Source organism: Homo sapiens, chromosome 12 (assembly GCF_000001405.40).
Source record: "Homo sapiens chromosome 12, GRCh38.p14 Primary Assembly".
Classification (NCBI taxonomy): Eukaryota; Metazoa; Chordata; class Mammalia; order Primates; family Hominidae; genus Homo; species Homo sapiens.
The window spans coordinates 22,856,782-22,883,174 of record NC_000012.12 but is presented as its reverse complement, the minus strand read 5'-3'; the positions used below and the strand labels follow the sequence as shown (position 1 = coordinate 22,883,174).

Sequence of the window (26,393 nt, the reverse complement as noted above, 5' to 3'; positions counted from 1 at the left end):
CAAGTGTTTCATTTCCAAAATAGACAGTTTGTAGGTATATAGATTTTTAAAAACACCCAGATATCCTCAAAGAACTTGCCATGTAAGGAAACTGTCAGAGAAGGGACCAAGTAACAAACATGAACTATAAGTGAAGATTCACAGTTGAATACGGAACTAATTAACGTAAAGGTCGCAATTTAAAATATTAGTGTTACAGTATGGGCTGTGTATGAGAGTGTTCTCCAGAGAAACAAAATGAATAGAATGCATATATACATATTTGTTTATAGAGAGATTTATTTTAAGGAATTGGCCCATACTACTACGGAGACCCAGGGAAGAATTGATTTAGTACAAGTACGGAAGCCATCTGCTGGCAGAATTCCTTCTTGCACAGAAGATGTTAGTCTTGTAGTCTTGATTCTGTTATAGACCTTTAACTGATTGGATGAGGCCCACCCACATTATGAAGGGCAATCTGCTTTACTCAAAGGTCACTGCTTTAAATATTAATCTTATCCAAAAACACCCTCACAGAAATTTCCAGAATAAGGTCTGACCAAATATCTGGGAAAAGCAGTCCAGCCAAGTTGACACATAAAATTAACCATAAGGGGGTGCTTTAAAAATATACAAAAACTCATATCCTAAACATCCTGCCCTGTGGTGGTAAGTCCTAGAGATTTGTCTTCCCCAACAGAGCTAACTCCCTTGAGTTGAGGACTGCATTATATTTAGTTTTTTATTCGCAGGGTCTATCACAATGGGACAGGGTTGGCAGGGGAATATAGAAAGTTTTCAGGAACTCTTGTCGAATGGAATTAAATAGGCTTGGCTTGAACTGAATTTAATTGAATCTAGTTTCTGGTCTTTTAAAATCTCTAAAAAAACAAGTATGTCCAGAATAATTTAATGCCATAGATAAGCCCAGAGGTTTAGGAACTCATAACTCTGTCGACTTCCTTGGTTGCTCAATTTGTGGCAAAAGTTATGTATTAATTTTACATTGCTACATAACAAATTATTACAAATTTAGCAGCTTATTATCTCACAGCTTCTGCAAATCAGGATTCCAAGTAGCAGTGTAGGGTGCTCTGCGTCAGTGTCTCTCACAAGGCTACCATGAGCCAGGGCTGGAATTTCAACAGAGGATTGACTGGAGAAGAATCTTCCTCTAAGTTCATGTAGCTTTTAGCAGATTCACTTTCTTGCAGGCTGTTAGACTGACAGCCTCAGCTCTTTCCTGGCCATTTGTCAGGGCTGCCTTTAGCTCCTTACCAGGTAGGTCTCTTCCTATGGTGGTTTTCTTTATGAAAAGTAGCAAGAGAAACTCAATATGGAAGGGCTACTAGCAATGTACATGTTACAATCTTATAGAATCATGGAAATGACATCACATCACCTTTGCCATATTCTGTTGGTTAGCAGCAAGTCACACATCCCACTGATAGCAACAGGAAACAGCCAAATGCCTGGGCAGATAGGGGCGGGTACCTGGTGAAACCCCACCTCCAAGCTGAAGACACTTTAAAGCCTGAAAGCCAAATTACAAGTTAAATCCTTGTACTGGATCGAGAACTTGTCCTCCTGTTTGGCGCACTTTTCTCTAATTGATCCCCACCCTTCACCTATCTTACACATATCTACCCTTTCCTAATTGGTTTTCTGCACCATCATGCCCACCTTTGAGTGGTGTCGTCACTTTAACCTTTTCCGTATACTCACAAACCAATTGGCATACACTCACACTCCCCATCCTGTACCTATAAAGACCCCAGACTCAGTTGGTGGAGTAGGGGAGACAGCCTGACTGCGAGAGAGAGACAACCTGACTTCAGGGAAAATGACTTGCCCTTCCCATCCCCTCTCCAGTTAGAGCCATTTTCATCACTCAGTACAATTCTCTGCCTTCACCATCCTTCAATCGTCCACATGACCTCATGCTTCTTGGATGCTGGACAAGAGCTCGGGGCTCACCAAATGTAGGTACCCAGAAAAGGCTGTCACACTGGCCCTTTGCCCTGGCCAACGGAGGGCAGCCACCCCACATAACAAGGCAAGGGGCCAAGTGAGCTGCTAACACACTGCTGTCCACTGGAGTGCAGGTAGCAGAACTAAAAGAGCACTATAAGACCCCCTCTGGGGCTTCAGGGTCACAGGCACCCTGTGAGGCCTCGGGGTCACAGGCATCCTGGGGTCCGCTGCATTCCCCTCAAGGCAACATGTCTGGTCTGGTCATGGGCCCCACACAGAGCTTGCTCCTGTGTCAATGCCCAGAGCAGCCAGCTGGATCCCGTACTCACTCACTCACTTGCTCCCTCCTGCAAGGGGCTAAGCACAGTGGGCCAAGTAGATGGGGTGCCCTGCCGTGAGTTCGGTGAATGGGGGTGAGAAAAATACCGCATCACCACTAACATTCAAAGGGAGAGGACTACACAACAGCATGAATACTAGGAGGTGGGAATAACTGGGGCTTTCTTGGAGTCTGTTCACCACAAGTCACTTCTCAGGATTAGACTTTGAGTTGGTTTTTCAGCAATCTCAGGGCTGCCACAAAAGGAGATTATGATTACTTTTTAGGGCAGACATAAAAGCTTTCAGGTCCTTCAAGGGCACCTAAATGAATCACTTCCCAGGGGTTGTCAGTCCAGAGATGAGACCAGCTGAGCAGGAGAAAAACAGAGCATGATTCAGCTACCTCATTCCTATTGTCAGGTGGAGTCCTGAGCTTTTCCCTACACCCAGACACCATCTGGCAAAGAAAGATCAGCCTCAATCAAGAATTGAACACTCAATTTTCTGAAGATTTAATTGAAAGAAATTGTGTAAACTAGACAAAAATTATTTAGTATTATTTAGCAAGTTAAAGGTTTGAGTGATCAGTTAGCGTGTTTATGTGGCATATGTGTGCCACCTATGTGCATGCGTTTCACTTACTACTCTGCTCCTCTTACTATGTTGGAAGTTACTCAGGAGGGAGATTAGCTTGGTTACAGGAAATAAAGACCGAGTGCAGTGTGAGTGAATGTTCAACTCTGTAAAATTAGAACAGTCTGTAACTCTAAATAATTAAGTAGTCACCTATACACCAGTAGACTGCCACTCTACTAAACTCCCAATCCATTTTTATATGGAAAGGCAGGCAAAAAGGATTATGATTATGTCTCTTAAAGACCAACACTAAATGTTTGCATTACCTAGGAGTGGGCTGGGGATTTGTCTCCCACAGGCATACAGTACAAGATTAATAAAAATAATAGCTAGCATTTATTGGATATTTACGATACAAGGAAATGGTCTTTCTGTTTTTTCCCAAATTTTAGTTTGAAATTTCTATAGAATATTCTATATTTCTATAGGATATTCTATATTTCTATAGAATATTCTATATTTCTATAGAATATTCTATATTTCTATAGAATATTTGAAAAAATGGCACAATGAACTTACAATGAACTTATATACACTGCTCACATTGATTTCCCAGTTATTAACATCCTACTGTATTTGTATTATACATATGTGTGTGTGTGCATACAAAGTATGTATTTGTATTTAAAGTATATATATATCTTAACATATGTATAATTGGTCGAACTATTTGAAAGTAGGTTTCAGACATTTTGAACTTTTTATATTTATTGCAATGAGTTGTCCAAGTTTTCAAAGCTGGCCAGTTAAAGTGCTGGGCCTGAAACCCTTGACAGTCAAATTTGGAGTCTACAGTCTATTCTGATTCAGTTAGTGGAAGGTGAGAGAAGTGCTGATAGTGGGCTAGATATGCATAGTCAGCATATCTAGCATAGCAGCACCAGAGAGCTAAGGGGTGAGGGGTTGGGGGAGGGAAGAGGAATTAAAGATCATAGAGAAGGGAGTGGCAAGAGAGGAGAATTTTTATGAGGGGAGATGATTATCAAATGAGGAGTGCCACTAAGACAAAAATCTCCCACTTTTCCTTTTATCTGGGGTGAAAAATATTTATTTTGGACTTGATACTGTAGAATATAAACCTCCAAAGGGCAGAGAGTAGGTTCTGTTTGCTTTGAGTCTAGCACTGTATTGCATACAGTCAGATACTTAGACACTTAGTCACTGCTACTGATGTTAATGGGCACAGATTTCTGAATCATTGAGTTCTCCAGTCATTAGAATTACACTTAATGTTATATGAACACTATGCCAATCCTCATGAAGGTGTTTTAAATTTATCCCTTTAAGTGTCATGAATATAGCCCTTGGGATCTGTAATACAGGAACGATTACAGAGGATCCATTTTACAACATGAATATACATTAACCCTTGTTCATCATAGCTGAAAAAGCAGTCCCAAAGTGTTATTTAAAAATTATAAGATTCCTTAAAGATTATGTATACAAGATTATATCAAAGAGTTATTCATTATGTTTAAGATCAAGAAACTAACTCCATCACTGTAATCAACACTTGACATAGCTATTGTATGTCTATAATGTGATCGGAGAACTCAAATCATTCTTGAAAAAAAAATAGTTGAGGGAAGAAAACAAAAGCAATCCTCTGGGTTTGCCTAATAATTAATAAAAAGTAAATAAAAATAAGTTAGGACTGCACGTTCTATTTACCTACTTGCCTCTGAAGGCAAGTTTCAATTTTTTTTTTTTTTTTTTGGTTCTTATTTATTTATTTTTACTTTAAGTTCTGGGATACATGTGCAGAACGTGCAGGTTTGTTACATAGGTATATGTGTGCCATGGTGGTTTGCTGTACCTATCAAACCATCACCTAAGTTTTAAGCCCTGCATGCATTAGCAATTTATTCTGATGCTCTCCCTCCCTTCGCCCTCCTCTCCGATAGGCCCTGACGTGTGTTGTTCCCCTCCCTGTGTCCATGTGTTCTCATTGTTCAATTCCCACTTGTGAGTGAGAACATGCGGTGTTTGGTTTTCTGTTCCTGTGTTAGTTTGCTGAGGATGATGGCTTCCAGCTTCAATCATGTCCCTGCATGATCCCATTCCTTTTTGTGGCTGCATAGTATTCGATGTGCCACATTTTCTTTATCCAGTCTATCATTGATGGGCATTTGGGTTGGCTCCATGTCTTTGCTATTGTGAATAGTGTTGCAACAAACATATGTGTGCATATATCTTTATAATAGAATGATTTATATTCCTTTGGGTATATACCCAGTAATGGGATTGCTGGGTCAAATGGTAGGTCTGCTTCTAGATCCTTGGGGAATCGCCATAGTGTCTTCCACAATGGTTGAACTAATTTACATTCCTACCAACAATGTAAAAGCACTCCTATTTCTCCACAGCCTCGCCAGCATCTGCTGTTTCTTGACTTCTTAATAATCGTGATTCTGACTGACATGAGGTGGTATCTCATTGTGGTTTTTATTTGCATTTCTCTAATGATCAGTGATGAGCTTTTTTTCCATATGTTTGTTGGTTGCATAAAAGTTTCAATTCTTTTATTCATTTGGGTAGTGGCTTGCAAACTTTCGTCCCGAAAACTTACAGTGAAAAATATATTTTGCATATACATAAAAACAAATTTTAAAAACACTTATGTTTTTGTGTATTATATTTGTGTATATGATTTAGAAAGCTCTTCCCCCATCCCATTAATACAGTACTTTTCAATCTGATTAACAGCTCTTTAGTGGGTCACAAAATCAACTGAGTTTAATCAACATTTTAAAAAACAAAAAAGAAAAGAAAAAATATTCAGAGTGCATTACGAGGAATATAGGGTAAGAACTGTTTCATGAAAATTTTGTTTCAGTTTTGCATGTATGTAGATATATGTTTTGGACATTAAGTTATCTGTATATTTCACTGAGGATTTTAGTCAAAAATGTTCAACAGGCCGAGCACAGTGGCTCACGCTTGTAATCCCAACAGTTTGGGAGGCCAAGGCAGTTGGACCACCTGAGGTCAGGAGTTCAAGACCAGCCTGGCCAACAGGGTGAAACCCTGCCTCTACTAAAAATATAAAAATTAGCCGGAGGTGGTGGCACACACCTATAATCCCAGTTACTCCGAGAGGCTGAGGCAGGAGATTCACTTGAACTTAGGAGGTGGAGGTGGCAGTGAGCCGAGATCATGCCATTGCACTCCAGCCTGGGCAACAGAACAAGACTTCATCTCAAAAAAAAAAAAAAAAACAATGTTCAACAGTTCACTATTTTATGGCAATTGCACATTGAAAAACATTGCAGTCTATGGGGGCACAAATAACTCCCCTTATCTTTAAAAATATTTTATTGTAGTATTCATAGTGTTGGAAGTTTTCATTATGTCACATCTCAGTTTCTTACCCTCGAGCTCAGAGAAAATGAGTTTGAGAAGTGTGACTCAACAATGTGAAGCTACACACAGGGCCATGTTGAAGTATGGAAAAAATAAATTCTGAATCATGATTCTCCACTCATCCTTAGACCATTGGCACAGAAAAGATAGAGACAATATAGCAAATACCACAGAAGCAACACCACTTGTGGCTTACACTTGTAAAGAACTACTTATGAGGGAGGATCCAAAAATGGCGGATAGGAGGCAAGACTAACTTGCAGCTCCCACTGGGAAAGACAAGGCAACATGTGGAGACCCACATTGTAAACTTTTGCTCCAAGAACTACTGCAGGAATATACCAGGAAAGCCGAGAGAACCCACAGACCCTTTGAAGGAGGTGGATTGCTGCTGCAGGATGGCCGAAGAACTGTGAGTCCATTTGCTTTCTCAGTAGGGAGGCTTGTTGCCTAGGGCAAGTTCTCAGCCCTCCTCACTGGCTGCCTGGAAACAAATTCGGTGCTGTTGTGGGGGTACGGTCAGAGTGACACTGGCCTTTCAACTATGTGGAAGTTGGGTGAGGCCTGTGGCTGCCGGCTTTTTCCCACTTCCCTGGTGACCTGTATGACTGCAGCAGAGGCAGCCATAATCCCCCTGGGAACATAACTCCATTGGCCTGGGAAACACATACCCATCCCCGACAGCAGCCGCAGCAAGACCTGCCCATGGAGAGTCTGAGCTCAGACACACCTAACCCTCCCCAACCTGGGGTCTTTCTCTACCCCACCCCCCAACTGAAGACAAAGGACATAATCTCTTGGGAGCTCTATGGCCCTACGTACCACCTGACCCTGGGCAAGCTGGTATCTTCCCTCTACTACTGCAGCTGATGCGCTCTTGAGACCGCCACACCTCCTGGCTGGAGGCCAACCAACAGAAAACCATCGCACTTAACAAAAACACAACCAAGGACCCTCACAGAGTCCACTTCACTCCTCTGCTACCTCCACCAGAGGAGGTGCTGGTATCCGTGGCAGAGAGACCTAAAGACTGATCACATCACAAGACTCTTTAGACACTCCGCAGTACCAGCCCAGAACCCAGTAGCTCTCATGAGCAGCTAGATTCAGAAGAGAAATAATAATCACTGCAGTTCAGCTCTCAGGAAGCCTCATCCCTAGGGGAAAGAAGAGAGTACCCAATCAAGAAAGCACCCTGTGAGACAAAAGAATCTGAACAGCAGCTCTTGAGTCCCAGATCTTCCCTCTGACATAGTCTACCCAAATGAGAAGGAACCAGAAAAACTACCTATGGGGATTGAAATATTAATATATACTAAATATACTAATACTAATTCAAAAACTTGTATTTAAATTTAAATTAGTATTTAAACACTAGATTTAAATTAAATTAGTATTAGTAATAATTAGTATTAGTATTTAAGTGAATATTTAAAATACTAACTAGTATTTACATTTAAATACTAATACTAATTTAAATACTAAATATACTAATAAGAAAATATTACCTATTTCTATATTTGACTCAAATACCATAACTAAGCAACATTAATTCTCTCAAATTTGAGATCAGAAATGTCTGTTCTCAGGAATAGGAAAAATATTTCCTTTTTACTTATAAATTTAGCCTACTTTCACTAGCAACAAGTTTCTATGATGATAGTCGTTGTAGACATCTGGAGACAAAGATCTGCAGAAAAATATAACCTGAGAATATGGTCCAAGGGAGGAGAGCCTGACAATTGGAAAAACTTAATAATGAAAGATAAATAAAATTTTTTAATCCTGTTATTAACAAGGCATTTTTATATGCCTATTCCCTGAATGTGTCAGTACTTTGAGATGGAAGTTTGAAACAATAGGAAGAAGTTTTTAGTGAGGTAAAAGTTTGAATTGACTCCTTAAGATCATTTTGAGAATTTTTTTTAAGAGTAGGGATTGATAAAGTAAAACCAAACTGAAAATAGCAATTCACATTGAAATAGTTGACAGCAGCTAAACCAAGAGATAAGTAGTGCATTGAATTAAGAGGTCAGATTAGATTACATAATGACTTTGTTCCTTTTCTAATAATAAGGACTTAAAAATAATCCTTGATAATTGACATGGTACATCAGTCAGTTGTTGTCAGTAAGCAAAACATACATGAAAGCATCTCTTGGGGCCGGGCACGGTGGCTCACGCCTGTAATCCCAGCACTTTGGGAGGCCAAGGCCGGCGGATCACAAGGTCAGGAGATCGGGACCATCCTGGCTAACATGGTGAAACCCCGTCTCTACTAAAAATACAAAAAATCAGCCGGGCATGGTGGTGGGCGCCTGTAGTCCCAGCTATTCGGGAGGCTGAGGCAGGAGAATGGCCCGAACCCGGGAGGTGGAGCTTGCAGTGAGCTGAGATCGCGCCACTGCATTCCAGCCTGGGAGATAGAGCGAGACTCCGTCTATAAAAAAATAAATAAATAAATAAATAAGAAAGAAAGAAAGTAGCTCTTGGCTTTTGTATTCAAAGCCAAAGCTAAGAATGAATTTTGGCACTGGGTAGTACTGCGAGTCAACTTTCCGAACAGCATTTTCACCAGCTGAATCATAGAGTGGAATATGCATTCAGTCTTGAAAAGACAGTCCCATTAGTATTCCTACCCCAGAACACCTAACTTTGGGCTATAACTGCACAGGAGAAGGGTGTAGAGAAAGAAGGAGGAGGGGGAGAGATAGGGCAAAAGTTTCAAAGAACCAGCCAGTGCCTTGACACACAACTTTGTACATGGTAAAATAAAAGACAAAATTTAACTGAGGACCTACTAAGAGAGTATAATAAGGAGATCTATTGCCCAAAAATTATTGCCAGCTTTTGTTTTCTGTTTTAAACACAACTATAAAACAAGATGTTGAGTTGCCAAGCTTCGTCCCTCAGTATCCATATACAGAAATAATGAAAGAGAATGGGAATTCCAAAGGGTTGCCCTTCCCATGATTAAAATATATTTTTCCATATTTCTCAATATCTATGCTCCAATTAAGTTTGTATCAAGAAGGAAGGTCCTCCTAGAACCTTCCACTTAATCTCCAATTACCTGTTAGCTATAGATGTTTTACTTGTTAATGATGGTTTAGTATTTAAAGATGATGCTTTCTTGCATTAACTGAAGAGAGCTTAAAAGCATAGCAATAGTATGAGAATTTCTCTAAAACCTAGGGGAGGGAAAAGGAGAAAAGCTACTACAGTCATCATTCTCTCCAAATGTCTTGTCTATTGAAAGCAGTATGATAGAAGAAGTAGAGAGGAAAGGGGAAGGGGAAAGATAGGGCAAAAATTTCAAAGAACCAGCCAGTGCTCTGAGACAGAAGATTTTTTTTGCTCATGGTTAAAAAAAACAACAACACTTCACTAATGAGCTGATAGGTTATTTTTTAGTTATTTTCTTTTGATCTAAATAACATTATTTTTCTTATTAGGATTTAATTGATTAAGCATGAAGATATTAGCAAGTTACTTCTGTTTTAATTAGGTATTAAGCAGCTTGATCATTTTTAGAGTGACAAGCTGTAGTGTTCACTCATCCATGAAGAAAAATTGCATTATAGTGTTCAAACTACTTAAATGGGAGTGGTGAATATTATTTAAATATTTTGTGTAGAGGAAAAATATTTAACTACAAAATAATAATCTGCTATTATATAAAGTTTAATCTCCTGTAATGGAATCACTTGTAATAGAATAGGCAAATAATTCTCCATGTCACCCCAGCTGAAGAAGAGGTGAAAACATGACCTAACCCTGTCTAATGAGATGGCCTCTTCTGGGACTCTGATACTTGACCAAAAACAGAAGAAACCATTGGATATAATTCATTCATCTCAAAAGGGCATCAAGACCAGACTGTTCCTGAGGTTCTTACACCCTCATACCTTTTAGGAGTTCATCCCCCAAAAAGATGTCAGGCCACCAGGAAGCCACAGCCATTACTAGAGTAAACAGATATAGACTGTCCCTCAGAGAAAAACATGGTTTCGCTGAAGCCACAGGAGTCTGCTGCATTCCTGTATAGGAACATTTGGAAAATGCAAAGAAGGGAACATCCCCGTGGGAAACCCTCAGTAAAGAAGAAGAGCCCCAGACTCCCATCCTTCAGTAAGACAATTCTGGGATGCATTCTGTTTGCTTCTCTGAAATGCTAGCTAAATAAAGCCACAAATGCCTACATCAGCAACCACAATATTACATCCTTACATTTGTTATTCCTCCTTCTCTGGCTCACTCTAACCATTCTCTCACTCTTGCCTCCTGGGAGCACCTCCCTAACTAACTATCCTGTCTCAGACTCTGCTTTGAGTGAAAACCAAACTGAAACATCTCTATATTTTATTTAATTATCACAACAGTCTTGTGGGGTGGTGTTATTTTCCACATCGTAGAGGCTGAGAGGTTCATTTGTCCATTCAATTAGTGAAATAGAGGGGGCTTGAACTCCAATCTTTCTGATTCTAAAACCCATGTTCTAACCATCATGCAAAACTATCCAAACACTACCAGATGAATGACAATAAGAGTTGGACATATTACTATATAAATGATATTTAATGTGTTTTGTTTACTACTTATACATGTTCCTTTGGGTGATGGCACAAAAAAAATTCACCAATCATTTCATTTCACTAAATGAAAGGACAAAGCCATGACTAAGAAGGAGATTAATCAGATGCTCAGCTTTTTCTCCTCTTTCAATTAAAATCTGTTTTCAAATTGCCTATGAAGACATATCATAGTGTTTATTTGTTGTTGTTGTTATTGTGTATTACAGCAGACAATTGTTGTTTTTGTCTTTCCAGCTTCCATTCTACCTTCTTTTAGTGAATACACACAAATTTTCTTTGGAAAATTCTGTTCCATTTTCCATACATGTACTTTAAGTGGCACGGATCCAAAGCCTGGCCAGTGACAGCTAAGAGACTCAGTTTCCGAGGTTTGGGGTTTTGTTGTTGTTTTCTTTTCTTTTTTCTTTTCCTTTTTTTTCTTTTTTTGAACCACTAGTTAAGACTGGAACAGCTGAGGGCCACAATGAAGGGCAAATCTGACTGCAAATAAAATTAAGTATGAGGGAAAAGATGATGGAGACGGAGGTAAACTTTTTAAATTCTAGATTGAGATAAGCAACTTCATACTTTTTTTTCTAAATTCAGTTTAATTGGACTTTTGTTGCTTATAACTCTTTTCCATTTTATTCTCCATGACCAGTCTTCTAAAATCTCAGGCTAAATATGATTTTTAAAATCACCTGGTAAAGCCACCTAGGTAAAATTTGGATGCTCAGTTCTTGTTCCAGTGTCTGCCTTCCAGTAACAACGAGTTCACAACCTCTAAACAAAGATTATCCTTAAGGTGCTTGAGAGTTTTAAAAATCCTAGTGAAATCTTTGAGTGTCAAGCCATGAAAGGAACAAACAAAAATAATATATACTAAATCCCTTAATTATAGAGTACATTAATATAGGTTGTTTTATACCATGTTGGCCAGGTGAGCCTTACTGGGAAGATGAGATTTAAAGGAACACTTAAAAAAGGGCTAAGGAACTAGCCAGGAAGATACCTAGAGAATTGAGTTACTTCATACACAGAGAGCAGCTAGAGCAAATGCCCAAGTTGAGTAAGTACCTGGCATGTTCTAGGAATTGCCAGGAGACCACCATGGCTGGAACTGAATGAATCAGGATGAGAGTAGTAGGAGATGAGGCCCAAGAGCTAGAGGACTGGTGTATATTATGCAAATGTAAAAGTCATGTATTAATTAGCTATTGCTGTATAACAAACGATCCCACACTTTAGCAGCTTTCTTTTTTTAATATAATGTCAACTTTAGATTCAGGGGTACATGTGCAGGTTTATTACATGGGTATATTTCACAATGCTGAGGCTTTGGGTGTGAATGATCTCATCACCCAGGTAGTGGGCATAGTACCCAATTGGTTGTTTTTCAGCCTTTGTTCCCCTCCCCCTCTCCCCACTCCAGTGGCCCCCAGTGTCCACTGTTGCCATCTTTATGTCCATATGTCCCTAATGTTTAGCTCCCACTGATAAGTGAGAACATGCTGTATTTGGTTTTCTCTTCCATCTTCACTTAGGATGATGGCCTCCAGCTACATTCATATTACTGCAAAGGACATGATTTTATTCTTTTTTATGTCTTTTAGAAAGCTTAAATAGTAGTAAATATTTATTATCTCACACAATTCCTAAGGTTTCAGAATTTGGAAGGGGCTTACTGGTGGTTCTAGCTCAGGGTCTCCCATGAGGATGCAGTTGTAATATTGACTGTGGGGGAAGTTATTTGGAGATTTGACTGGGGCTGGAGGATCTCCTTCTAGGATGGTTCATTCACATGGTTCTTGTCAGAGGGCTTCAGTTCCTTGCTATTTGGACAGGTCCATGGGGCTGCTTGAGTATTCTCACAAAATGTACATGGTTTTCTCTGAAAAACTGATCCAAGAAAAAGAGGCCAATGATATAACGTACTTTGCAATCCAGCCTCAGAAGGCACACATTATCATTTCTTCAATATCCAATTATTTACACAGGTAAGGGCCATTCAATGTGCAAGGAAATTACATATCAAGTTCCAGGGGTCTGGGATCATTGAAGACCATATTAGAAACTGGCTACCCCAGGTCATAATAGGAATATCGGTTTTACTATGAGAAAAGTGGGGAGTCATTACAAGGTTTTACATAGAACAGTGATACAATCTTACTTTTATTTTAAAAGAATTACTCTGGCTGCTCTTTTTGTTTTGTTTTTGGAGCATAATTTTATCGCTTGTATTTATTTTTAAGCAGTAGAATTTGACTATGTCAAACACACTGAAGCATGGGAATTATACAGTTCACTGCTTAGAAAGGTGTTGAACCAATACTGTCATTATCCCACACAGATAAAGAAGAAAAAACCAGGAGGATAATCCTGCTTTCCAAGGCAGTGGAAAATGGTCATTTCTAACATTTGGGTTGGATTTTCCATAATGGCTACTCCTACTGAAATTAATTGTAACAACTTATTGAGCATTTACTGAGTTTGTAGGTACTAGATTGAAAAGAAAAAAAAAAGATCCCTGTCATTAAATATATATATATAATATTTACTCTTCCATATATAAAATATATATATTATATATAATAATATATTATTATATAATATATAATATTATATATATTTTATATATATTATATTATATTATATATATAAAATATATATAATATATTATATTATATTATATATAAAATATATAGTATTATGTAATATATATTATATAATATATATGAAATATATATATTATATATATTATTTACATATTATTATATAATATATATTACATATTATATATAAATATATATTATTTATATATTATATTATATTTATATATAATATATATAAATATAATATATATAAATATTATATATATATATTATATATGGCTGGGGTCAGTGGCTCATACCTGTAATACCAGCACTTTGGGAGGTTGAGGCAGGAGGATCACTTGAAGCCAGGAGTTCGAGACCAGTCTGGGCAACATGGTGAAACGCCGTCTCTACCAAAAATACAAAAAATTAGCCAGGTGTTGTGGTGCACACCTGTAGTCCTGGCTACTTGGAAAGCTGAGGTGGGAGGACTGCTTGAGCCTGGGAGGTTCAGGCTGCAGTGAGCTGAGACTGTGCCACTGCACTCCAGCCTGGGTTACAGAGTGAGACTCTGTCTCAAACAAAAACAAAACCCGTAAAATTATAATATATAACATAACTGTGTAACCAATATGCAAAATTAAACAAAGAAATGAAAACAAAAGAAAGTGTTTAGTGATACGGTAAGTACAATTGAGGGAGGCAGCTGGAGGTGAGCGGCTGCATTGGGTTCAAAGTGTTCAATGGTATGGAATGAAGCTCTCAGCAGCCCTCGCTAGACCCAGACTCCTCCTTGCCATAGTCTTCTCTTGGGGCACTGCATCCTGGGTCCACATTTCTCCAGCTACTAGGGTCCTGGATGCTATTTGGGGGGGCTAGAGTTTAGGAAACAGGGCAGTAGCATGAGATATATCAGAAAGCCAACTAATCGAGGTAAATGATGACAGTAATCTGGTGGTAGCAGTAGAAAGAAGAGGTTAGATCATGGATATTTTTGAAGGTTGAGCACAGAATTTCATTTTATGTGGGGTCTGAAAGACTTAAAAGAATCAAACACAAAATTTTGATGAAGCATCTGGAAAGATGGAGTTGCCATCAGCTGAGAAGGGAAAGCAGTTAGTAAAGCACTTAGGTGGGGCAGGAGGAAGGCGAGTTGAGGAGTTCAGTCTTAGAAAACTGAGTGTGATGTGTCTGATAGATGTTTGACCAGAGTAGTCTAGAATTTGAGACAGAGGTTTTTTCCATAGCACTATAAACACATGTATATATAATATTTCAAGCCATGAGGCTGAATAAGATCACCAAGAGAGTGACAGTGGAACAAAAAGAAAGGAGTTCCAAGGGCTGAGCCATGGGGCTCCCCATGAAAAGAGGAAGGAGAAGAGAAAGAACCAAAATGGAAACCCAGAAAGAGCTTTCAGTAAAGTAGGAAGAAATCCAAGAAAGTGTGGTGCCTGGAATAGGAGTGAAGAAAATAAGAAAGATGGGTGATTCAAATGCTATTGATAGGCTAAGATTAAAGCAGAGATTTCATCATGATGCATGGTGATCCAGGTGAGCTTCAGGGAAGCAGATTTGCTGGAGCGATGTGGGCAAAGGCCTGATTGAAGTGGGTTAAAGAGAGAATACGGAGGGACAAATTGGAGATCTGACTATGGATAAATTTTTTAAGCAGTTTGCTGCAAATAGAAGCAACAAAATGGGGCAGCAAGCTGGTGGGAAAAGATAGATCAAGAGAAAGTTTTTTACTTTGAGAGAAGTAACATCATTTTTGTGTGATGATACAGTGGAGAAGATGGATAATATAATATAGAAAGGGAGAATTTCTCAAGCAATCCAGTGAGAGAAGATGAGTTCTAGCGCACAGCAGAGGGGTTGACTTGAGATAGGGACATGGATTGTCCACCCATTACCATGACCTCCTACTCAGCAGGAGGTCAAAGTGTGCAGGGGCAGGTGCAGCAGATGGATTGAAGTGGTGATGATAATCTCTGTAGATCCTCCTGTGAATGTTCCAATTTTCTTATTGGGATTTGAAAAGAGAAAAGTATTTTAAATCCTTATCAAGGGTGTGGGAGAATGAATTTTTAAAAACATCTAGTATGATTGCCTTGCAGAATTAAGGGCCCACTTCTAATTTAAAGTCTGTGTGGCTGTGAGTTTTTCTCCAGACAGTTTTAGCTTCAGGGTTGCAGACACAGAGTAGGCAGAGAGTTGGATTTAACCAGGATTGTGGATCTGCCAAGTGAGTGAGACAATGAGGCAGGAGCATGGGAATGGAGGGTGTTTTCAAGGGAGTGACTACAACAATTAACCATAAAATTTAATCTGGAAGAATGTGAGGTCAATAAAAAGAAGGTAAAATGAAAAGATCAGAGGTCCTATTAGGGTCAAGGGACTGTTGAGGCCCTAATACTAGAGAGAGTGGACTGAAAAGGTAAGACACAGCGGTCAGAGAGTAGAATGTTTGAAATATCGGTTATGAAGGGGTCCGGGGTATGACCACAAAATAGTACCTAATAAGGTGAAAGACAAGATCTGTGGAAGAGGGATAGTTAAGGAACTCAAGGCCAAAGTGTAGAAAGATCATATGTACATCCATTGAAATCTACAATAATTAAGGCGGGGATATTAGTAGAGAGACTGAACTTGAGTCTTCTATCACCAAGAAATCAAAGGAAAGATCCCAGGAATCCATAACTGGCAGCAACGATGAGGGGAAGGGTTGACATCATGTGATAGCCTAAGATTCGTGGTTGGTTGTTTTTAGGAAGGAGGTAGAGAGAAAGGTCTGAAAGCAGCAATGAGGACACAGGACAACGTCTACCCCACCTTCAGGTCTTTGGTATAGAGCTGGGAGGAAAAGCAGCCACCATTAGAGAGGCTGTTGGGAAAATGTGACCTTGGGGAGGAGTCGACTTCTCCTTAGAGCAAAAAGGTGAAAGAGGATGAAGCTATGGGGGATTTTGCCTTCAACAGACTCTGAATTCAGAGAGCACAGTAGATGAGTTTTAGGACTTGGGGAGGAGTGAACTGAATAAGGCAGTGGTTTTTCACTGGGACCACAAACATCAACATCACTTGGGAACATGTTAGAAAAAATTCACATCCTCAGGCCTGACTTCATGCCTACAGAATGAGAAACGAATTCTGGCCCAGCAAACTGTTTTTTTAACAAACCCTTCAGGTGATTCAGATAAACACTAAAGCCTGAGAACCACTGAGCTAGGGAGCTCTTGGGACTTAAAGGATAGGAGAGGAGGGTGACCTGGGAGGTTTTGTAGTAGCTGACATAATCATGGAGAGAGGACATATGAGATTATTCCTGGATTCCAGGCAGATAGTTGGGACCAGTCCATGAGTGCTGGGGAAAGGAAGAGAATAGGGAAGAATAGGTTTCTGGGAGTCTGTCTTCACCCTTGAAGGCCTAGAGGGTCATAGATACAGAATTTCCTCCCGTCTTTTCTTAAAGGGTTTCTATTTGTGCATATTCTCACCATACTGAGCTTACCTGCTCCAGTATCTCTCTCTTCCTTCTTTCCATTTTTCTTGATCAATGATTCTGTTGTTGTTATAAGTAACAGAAAGCCATTGCAAGCAGCTTCAATCAATAAAGGAGATGTATGCTATGGGCATAAAGACCCTGAGGTAGAAAGCCCAGCGGTGCCCATGTGTGCATGTGTGCGTGTGTGCGTGTGTGCGCATGTGTGTGTGTGCATGTGTTCGTGTGTGTGCATGTGTGTGTGCGTGTGTGTGTGAGAGAGAGGGAAGGAGAGAGACTACATGGCTTCCACTACATACTCTTTTTTTCTCTCTGGGCATCCTTATGCTGTGCTTTCCTATGCTCATGCTTGACTGATAACACTCTCATGAGCTAATGAACATTCCTGCATCTGAGTTGCAGATTGCCAGGACAGCCTGGGTTAGGTAAGTACCTGATCAGCTATGGCTTGAGATGTGGTGTCAAAAAATGCAGACATGGCTGCCAGGGGCCACAGCGTGAGCAGGGTTAGGAGGGGTCATTTGTCAAAGGAGTGTGGCAGGCTAGGCAGCCACTGGAAACATGCTTACAACTGATACTTTGGTCTAAATTAAGGAGTTAACATAATTTAGGTGGATAAATACCTGGTAACTTTTTTTTCAAATGGTAAGTGGGATAGCACTTTGGCTAAGCATTGCTTTTCTAATAGTTTTAAACACTGATTTAATAATTTGGGAGAGAAAAGTTCCTTTTTGTAAGATAAAAGGTACCATTTATCTGAAATTGTAACATACATATTTAATAGACTAAAGTATTTTCTCTCATTGACTTAAATAAGCTAGGCCTATCATTCTGGGTATTTATAAGGCTGGTGTGTGTGCGTGCATGCACAGGTATATATTTTACATTGCTATATGTATGCTTCACCAACTTTATCTGCATGTCATAGAACTTCTGCAAGGTAGATTAGAGTGTATTTCATACTTCCAGCATCATCACACAGACAACTTTCCCAAGGAAATCCTCCAAAAATGAATTTTAATTAAGTAAGCCTTTCTTCTTCTCAGGCTCCCAAAATATTTAATTCAATCAAATTTTCTGAATTTCAGAAACACTTTTTATTCTTTTACCAATTATTTCTGGGTATATTTTACAAAAATTCCTTTACAAATATTTCTGAGACAAAAGAAAGGCATGGAGGCCCAGTATGGCTGAAGACAAATGATAAAGCAGACTCAAAACATGATATGAAAACTAAGCTTAGAAGAGAATCTCTATATGATCAATTGCCTACATCTGTGTTTAAGATCTTTTTTCCTTCCTTGTCTCTCCCTCTCTGTGTTCTCACTGGGTCTGTCCAAATGCCATACTCCCTTTTTTTTTTCCCCTGATTCACTTTCATTACTTGTGATGATATTTTCTCTTTTATGTGTCTGGAAAATATTTGAACAGCATTTGTAATGTGAGGCATGCTCATGTTTTTCCGGGTGAAACGTCCGAGACAACAGTCCAATATGTTTATGCAGAACAGATATTGGATGTTCCACAGATTTTTAAAAATACAAATGTACTGCCCTCATTTTTTATCTTAACTTATCCTTTTCATGAGATATTTGAAGAAAATAAAAACAGAAATAAAAGCTTCAAAACAACAGTCCAGTCGTGTGGTGGATTTTTTTTTTCAAATTGATCGTGTGTCATTGCCTCGATGAGGCCAGAGAGAGTGAAGTGCATAGGTGTTTCTGATATTTTCATAATGTTCTGGATTTGGATAACATTTCTTTATCCTGTTTATTGGGAAAATACTTGGACTCAGGTTATTTAAGTTATTTTTTGTGATAATATTACTAAAGGGGGTAAATGCCATGGGGAATTTCTTAATTCATGGTCATTTTCATTTTCAGTATATTTGTTGTTCTCTCATAGAGGCGCAGTGAGGTGAAGAATTTATTCTGATTTGCAAAGACCTGAATTTTCCTATCATTTATGCAAATAGATGAGGTTGAGGGCAAGCCCTTTGGATCAATCATGCTTTACAAACACAAACTTTGAGAATCTAATGCTAAAACAAAGGCTTGCTATTTGAAAGTTTTAAGTGACTGTATTTCTTGGTAACCCCCTCTTCACACACCTACACACAAACTAACACAGTGAGTTTCCTTTCAGACTTTGCCATCATTATAGTTACATCACTTGTATTGTCTGTCCATTCTGGACATGGCAGATCTGATACTACATGAAGTCAAAATCAATTAAGGCTTATTGTGCTGTCAGTTGATATTTTCTTTATGCAAGACTTCTTTAAAACCACGAAGCCAGGAATGAATGTTGAATTGAATGTGTGTATTTTGCATAATCACACTATTTGCCACTAACATAAGCTCTTCATACAGAAAGAATTCACAGGATGTAAGTCTCCCATGCATTGAAGTGTATCTATAGGAAGAGGGACAAATTTGCAAACAAGAGGAGAGAAAGAGAGAGAGAGAAAGAATAGGTATCAAATTTTGAGTGTAAATATTTTACAGTAATGCTTTAAATAGGATAAAGATATTATAAATCCAGGTAGTATCATTGTAGCAGAAAAACAAAAACAAAAATGAAGAGCAGAAATAGGCAGAGATAGACAGAAACCCAGTGGATAGAAGTATTTCATTCCCTCAGAGGCTTAGAGAGAGGGGTAAGGGAGAAGTAGACATAAAGAAGTAGGAAGGGGAGGATGTGAAAAAGAGAGGGAGCCTCCATTTCATGAATGGGAGGGTGGGGTTCTTCCCTGCCCTTCCAGATCTTCAGGAAATTGAGAAAAGAAAGGAAACCAGATGGCCCTTTCCCTCACCCTCCACATCCATCATCAAATCCCATCAGATCCATTGGAGAATACTGTTCATGCCTGCCTCCTTTGCCCCACTTTGTGCCCACAATGCCAGTCCTCCCTGGCCACAGGGTAGCTCTCCGCCAACTCATCACCTCCACCCTGGATTCCTGCAGGCATCTCCCAGCTAGGCTGTCGGTCCTACCACCCCAGTCTGTTCTGCACCTAGAAGCACCACTCGTTTTCCAAAAACAACATCTAATCTTGCCATCTCCATCTTTTGTCTTCGAAGTAATATTCACATTCCTTATCCTAGCTTAGAAAACTCTTTCCATTTTTTCCATGCCCACCTCTCCAGCCTCCCTCTTCTGTTGGAGTAAGGGGAGGCAGGAGAGTTATATCTTTATCCATAGTTCTGATACTAGTTGCATCTCCTGGATCACACCACACTCTCCTCAAATTTCTGTACCTACCTACTCACTGCTCCTACAGCCCAGCATAGTCTCCCTGACTTCCCCTCCACCTTCTACCCCTACGTGTCACTTAGTTCAGACAACTCCCTGAAGTCCTAGTCCCCAGATGCACTTTAACTTGTCAGAGGAAAAAGAGGATCCATTGAAGAACTTCTTATGGGCAGAATAAAAATGGAAGTATTTTGAAGTCCACCCCTACATGTAGACATTCTCCTTGTCTGGCTCACTCTTTTCCTCTTTTGGATCAATTGCATTTACAGAAGAAGGCATTTGAGTAGACCTCAACCCATGAGGGGATAAGCATCCAGGTGGCTTTCTGCCATTGCCCCCACCAGACACCAGCCAGTTGCCCAGGGTTCAGTCAGCATTTCCTGATGACTTGGAGCAGTTTACCCCATGGAGCGTCTCAGGGACTAAGAGCACAGACCTCCACCCTCAGCCTGACAATCTGTCTCCGTGTTGAAAAACAGTTCAAGGTAGCACTTGAGACCAAACGTGTCATTTTTCTTGTCAAAATGAAAGCTGTAAATTTTAAACCTAATGCTTAATGTATCCAGATATTGAACACAGGGACTTTTATCCTCAGCTTAATGGTCTGTCTAAAAACATCAAAAAAGATTACTTAAAAACTCTGGGCCTCAGAGGTCCTATAAAATTACATGAAGCACCACCACCCCCCACCACCATCTCCTCCAAGTTTTAAAAAATGTATTGAAAAACACTTGTGCAATAGATGAACTCCTTTTTTCTTAGCCTCAGATGTTAAGACTATGTACTTGATTGCTGGGGGGTGGTTAAGAAAAGCAATAGGATAAGATGAAATTTTATTAGATTACAATCTAAAATATTAATAGCATTCATGCTCCTGGGAAAGGATGGCTAACTTTATCCAGCATATTCTTGAACAGGAAAACGTAAACGTATGGCTTTCTCTCTCTAATATCATGCAACAATAAAGAAGAGCAGCATTTTTTAATTTTTTAAAAATATCAGATATTCGTAGAGACCTGATTGGAATGGAAAAACAGAAGAAGGCACATGAAAGAAGTAGAGAGATAGATGCAATTATTTTCTCCAATAAAAGGAGACTCGAATTAAGAGGTAAAGGGGAATTGCAAGATTTTAGGGATGAGGAAGTTATAACACTGGACCCTAGGAGTCTTGTCAAAAACTCAATCACAAGTACACATTAATCTGAGACCTTAAAAATCCACCCATAGCCAGAGTATCCATGGTCAGTTATGTGGCACAGTTTGCTTCCCAAGTCTTACTGCCATCACTGCAAAAAATTTTTGTTGGCACAAACAGAAATCCTCATTTCCTCTGGGCTATAAAAAAAGTGGTGTTTAGTTTTGTTGTTTAGTTTTGCTTACAATCATTATTTTTCTATCCAGAGAAAATTGTGAACCAGGAAGTTTAGAGGATCAAGAGTCCTTTCAGCTGTGATATGAAATCTGACTTGATTCTGTACACTGGTGCCTATTCTAGAGAACAGAGTTGCTAATTAGGGGGACACGATGTTTGGGAAAATGACAAGCTTCCAAGTGCCTCCTGAATTCAAAATTTCCAACATCTTTAAAGCACTATAGATTCACAGATGGTAATAGTATCATTTGCTTTACTCGCCTTAAGAGTGCTCTCTGATGTATCTGTTTCTGACATAAAAACAACTCTATTATAGGTCCCACATTTAAGAGTCTTAATTTAATGCCCTAACATTTTGGTGCATGTCTGGCTTACCTGCAGCAGCCTCATTAAGAATGACTCCCGGGCGAACGCAGCATCTAATGGGTTAATGAGGCTGGGCAGCCTCAGCCTGCTAGCAGCTGCTTAAGCAGCAGGCTGGGGAAAGCTCTGTTGATTTTCATTCTTCACTGCTGAGTGATGAAGGGCAACCTATATGAGAGAAATCTAGTCAGGCCACAACCTGTACTCACATACAAAAAAAAAAAAAATGTAATTCAATTCATGCCCCAGGTCAACAATTCCTCCATGATCTCTGATATAAGGGTAAGGTCAATGCATTTACAGTACATATGGGGCTAAAATCAGGAGATTTGGGAGTTTAGCCACTATTTTGATTATCATATGCTGTGGAAAATCAGGACTCTAGGAGCTGATCTAGAATCCAAATAGGTCTTTGAGCAGTGATGTATATCCCAATTAATGCTATTGACACCTTCAGCAATGATATTTCTTAGCTGATTATTTTGGATCTCTGAACTCATTTTGGAATACAGATTCCCAAATTCTATTCCTAACTAAATACAGTGCTCTACTGCCTAACAAAAATATATTCAAAGATGAAGAAATTTTAATGTTTCATATTGAATAAATTGAAGTATAAAATAAATTTGATATTTTAATTAAATAAATTGAAATGAGTCCTTCAAATAGTGTTCCTTTGTTCATTTGATACACCTGAAACATCTCCTTTGGTTTGGCTTCACTGGGTAAAAGAATCTCCTGGAGAGCTTGTTAAAACACAGATTCCTGGCCAGGTGCAGTGGCTCACGCCTGTAATCCCAGCATTTGTGAGGCTGAGGCAGGACGATCACTTGAGCCCAGGAGAGGCTTGAGCAACACAGAGAGACCCCGTCTCTACAAATAAAAAATTAGCCAGGCATGGTGGCGCATGCCTGTGGTCCCAGCTACTTAGGAGGCTGAGGTAGGAGGATCACTTGAGCCTGGGAAGTTGAGGCTGCAGTGAGCTATGATCGTGCCACTGCACTTCAGCCCAGGTGACAGAGAGAGACCCCATCTCAAAAAACAAAACACAGATTCCTGAGATCCACCTCCAGAGTTTCTTACTTAGTGAGTTTGGGTGTGGTCTGAGTGCTTACATTTCTAAAGAGCTCCCAGCCCATACCTGCTACAAGTCCACAGACCACACTTTGAGAAGCACTGTTCTAGGCTCCCACTTTCTTAATGTTCTTCTTGCAATGTGTCCTTTGCTGGGTTTTCCTTTTCCTCATGACATCTGACTTGGCATGCACTAAGGCTCCACACCTGTTCTCCCTTTCCTCCCAAGTTATCTCACTCAGTCCCATGACACTATGTGATATCACTAAACCGATAAAACCTGATTTTGTCCCTAAATTCATGATTGTATATTTACAGTCATCCCTCGTCTGCAGACAATACCTTCCAAGACCCCCAGTGGATACCTGAAACCAGTGCCAAACCCTGCATATACTACATTTTTTCCTATATGTACAATAAAGTTTAATTTATAAATTAGGCACAATAAGAGATTAATGACAATAATTAATAAAATAGAACAATTACAACAATATACTGTAAGAGAAGTTATGTGAATATGGTCTCTCTATCTCTCAAAATATCTTATTGTACTGTGCTGTGGATAACTGGAACCACAAAAAGTAAAACCGTGGATAATGGAGGACTACTGTACTTGCCTCTCAATATCTCCTGATTCTTCCTTAAACTCCCAAAACTGATCCTCTCCAGTGTTCCCCAACTCAGCAAATAGCACGAGCACTTAGGAAGTTGCTCAGGCCAAATCCTTAGTCATCCTTAACTCCTCCCTTCTTCTCATCCCCTCCAACCCATCAGCAAGTCTTGTTGGCTCTCCTTCAAAATATAGCCAGAATCTGGCCGTGTCTCCCTAGCTACACTGGCAAAGCCACCATTATCTCTTGCCTGGATTATTGTAATCATTTCCCAGATGAGCTCCTGATTAGTTCCCTTATCTCCCACCTCGCTACCTTTACAGAGCAAACAGCAGTTCTTTAAGGTGTAAGTCAGTTCTCTTCACTTGTCTCCGTTAAGCCCTCTCCAGATAACTTAGAACAAACAGCTGGAGTTCTTACGCTATCTCATAAAGGTCTACGTCATCTGACCACGTTCCCTCGTACTTTTCCCACCTCATATGGCAGAAGTTTCCCCTCACTCACACGCTCTAACCACACTCACCTCTCTGTTCTTCTTTTCCCACACCAAGCCTGTCCCTGCCACAGGGCTTTACACATGCTGTTTCCTCTGCCTGAAATCCTCCTTCCCTGGTTAGCTACAGGGGCCAGCTTAATCCCTTTTTCCAGGTTTCTGCTCAGATGCCTACCAAAGGTGCTTCTCTCTAAATGAGCACACAACCCAAATCTGTATGCTCTTTCAGAGAAAGCCCCTTATGGTAGACATCTGAGAACCCCATTCTCTAACCCTCTTGACCTGTTTCACCTTTGTTGCCTCAGCACATCTCACCCCTGATGACTTATTTTATATGTATTTGTTCATTGTCTGCCTCCCTTCACCAGAATGCGTGCTCCAGGGAAGGAAGAAACTTTTTTTCTCTCCACTTCTATATTCCCAGTGCAAGAAATAGTACCCGGCCTGTTGCAGGAGCTTGATATATATTCAGTGACTAAATAAATAAACTGATTGAAAAATGAACATTTCAGTTCGTCAAAAGAATTATTTTTTTTCCTCTCTAGATTTGATCAGTTATTTTATTTAGCCTTAGTCACTTTTAGATGCAACATTTTTACAGTATTTACTTCAAGGGAATTATATGGATAATTTGCATGAGTAAAAATTATCCAAAATACTAGTCACACAAGTTTTCAACAAAATTCTAAAAGACTATTTTACTCCATCCCCATTTCACCACACCCAATTTTTGCTTGAGCCCATGGTCCCCAGAAGCATTAGCCTGAGAAACAGTCTTTTCGAGTTACCCTCGGCACAGAAAAAGCTGCTGAGTCTATGGATCAAATTGATTGGCCACAGGTGGTCACAATGTTGGACAAAGAATGTACATTTTTAAACACTGGTAACTGCATAGAGTAATACTGCCTGTTTGAAATGCCACTGCAGCTGATTAATGCAGCTCAAGAGTTCTCGCTGTTGATAAATAGAAGAGATGGTGAAAGTCTGAGAGTTAGGTAAAGGAACCAGTATTAAAATAGCTTTGGAAAAATACACGGCAATACACAGCTACCATTCATCCCTTGCAGTGAAGAACTGTATCAGGGCTCAAAGTGACTCCTCTCACTAACTTTCCACCCCACTCCATTTAGTTTAACTGGATTTAGGTTTAAATGCTTTATACTCTGAATTCGACTGTCTTTGAGCTTTTTAAAGAGTAATGACATTGATAGTCGAACCTATGGACCATGTTGCATGTTTTCTCATGTTATTTGTTGGACTGAAGCTTGCAATGAAAAGCAACTATTAAAAAAATAAATGTGTGTGGAGATTAGAGTCCACATTTTGAAATGTCAGTAAATACAGTATTTATATGACAGATCATAATGACTTGTAAAAGGCAGCCATATGTGTATCAAGCTCTCAGTCTTCCTAATGTTTTTTTCTTAAAAAGAATATTTTATTTTTAAATCTGAAGAACACGACACTAAATGAATACTATCTTCCAATTTTTTTGAGGAATTCAGAGTATGATCAGAGGTCCTCAGCCCATGGACTTATCCTTTTCAAAGAGAAACTGGGGAGACATGTCCAGCTTGTGCACTCCTGGCATATCACAACATTTAGAGCAATAGATTTTAAAAAAGGAAATCAAGGATAGAACATTAGAGTCAGCTCCTCAGTCTTTAATGTACTGTTTCACTACTTAACCGTGCCTAAAGGTAGTCTGCTGGTGTACTTTTACAAATAGCACCATTAACAGAATTTTACATGCTTAGGTCACTTTACTTTGATCCCAAAGAAGTCTTAAAACATTGTACAAACAACAGACTGGAGGCTACATCCCTGAAAGCCACTTCTGGGGAGGAGAGGTGGTCCCTGACATAGCAACAGAACATGCGGGACAGTTTCAAACAAAGAACAAAGGCAAACGAGGGTCCTTCTGAAAACCGCCAAGGATGTTAAGTGTTTTCAGAGAGTGAAATCAAATACAACAGCATAAGGCCAGTGGAGAATTTTTCTAGGAGATAGAACCTTTGCTTAAAGTGATTAAGTACTTACTGGTCATCATAGACCTCCAAATTTCACATTCCCATATACATAAACTGAATCTCCAAATGCACTGAAATTATATCTCAGGCATAAGCTTTCTTTTGTTCTCATGCCAGTTTGTAAGAGATCTTTACATGAACAAAAGCTTCTGTCTTTACAATAACCATCTTTCTTTAGAAAAGGCATGCAATATACTTTTGGGATGCCAAATCGCACAATAGAGAAAACCAAATAATTCCAGTGAGG

At 39.4% G+C, this 26,393-nt stretch overlaps 1 long non-coding RNA gene across 13 annotated transcripts in view; it reads right to left on the bottom strand.

Annotated features, from left to right (window-relative positions):
• LINC02955 (long intergenic non-protein coding RNA 2955) overlaps positions 1 to 26,393 on the bottom strand; it is a 491,729-nt gene that overhangs the window by 308,413 nt on the left and 156,923 nt on the right. For 6 of the 13 annotated variants that reach the window (NR_187512.1, NR_187515.1, NR_187503.1 and 3 more), the window contains one exon: positions 21,951 to 22,106. The exons of 2 other annotated variants lie outside the window; for them this stretch is intronic. This is a non-coding gene — a long non-coding RNA (long intergenic non-protein coding RNA 2955). Of the gene's footprint in view, positions 1 to 13,761; positions 13,855 to 21,950; positions 22,107 to 26,393 lie in introns of all 13 variants that reach the window. 5 more of the 13 variants (NR_187514.1, NR_187508.1, NR_187500.1 and 2 more) reach the window with 2 other exon arrangements.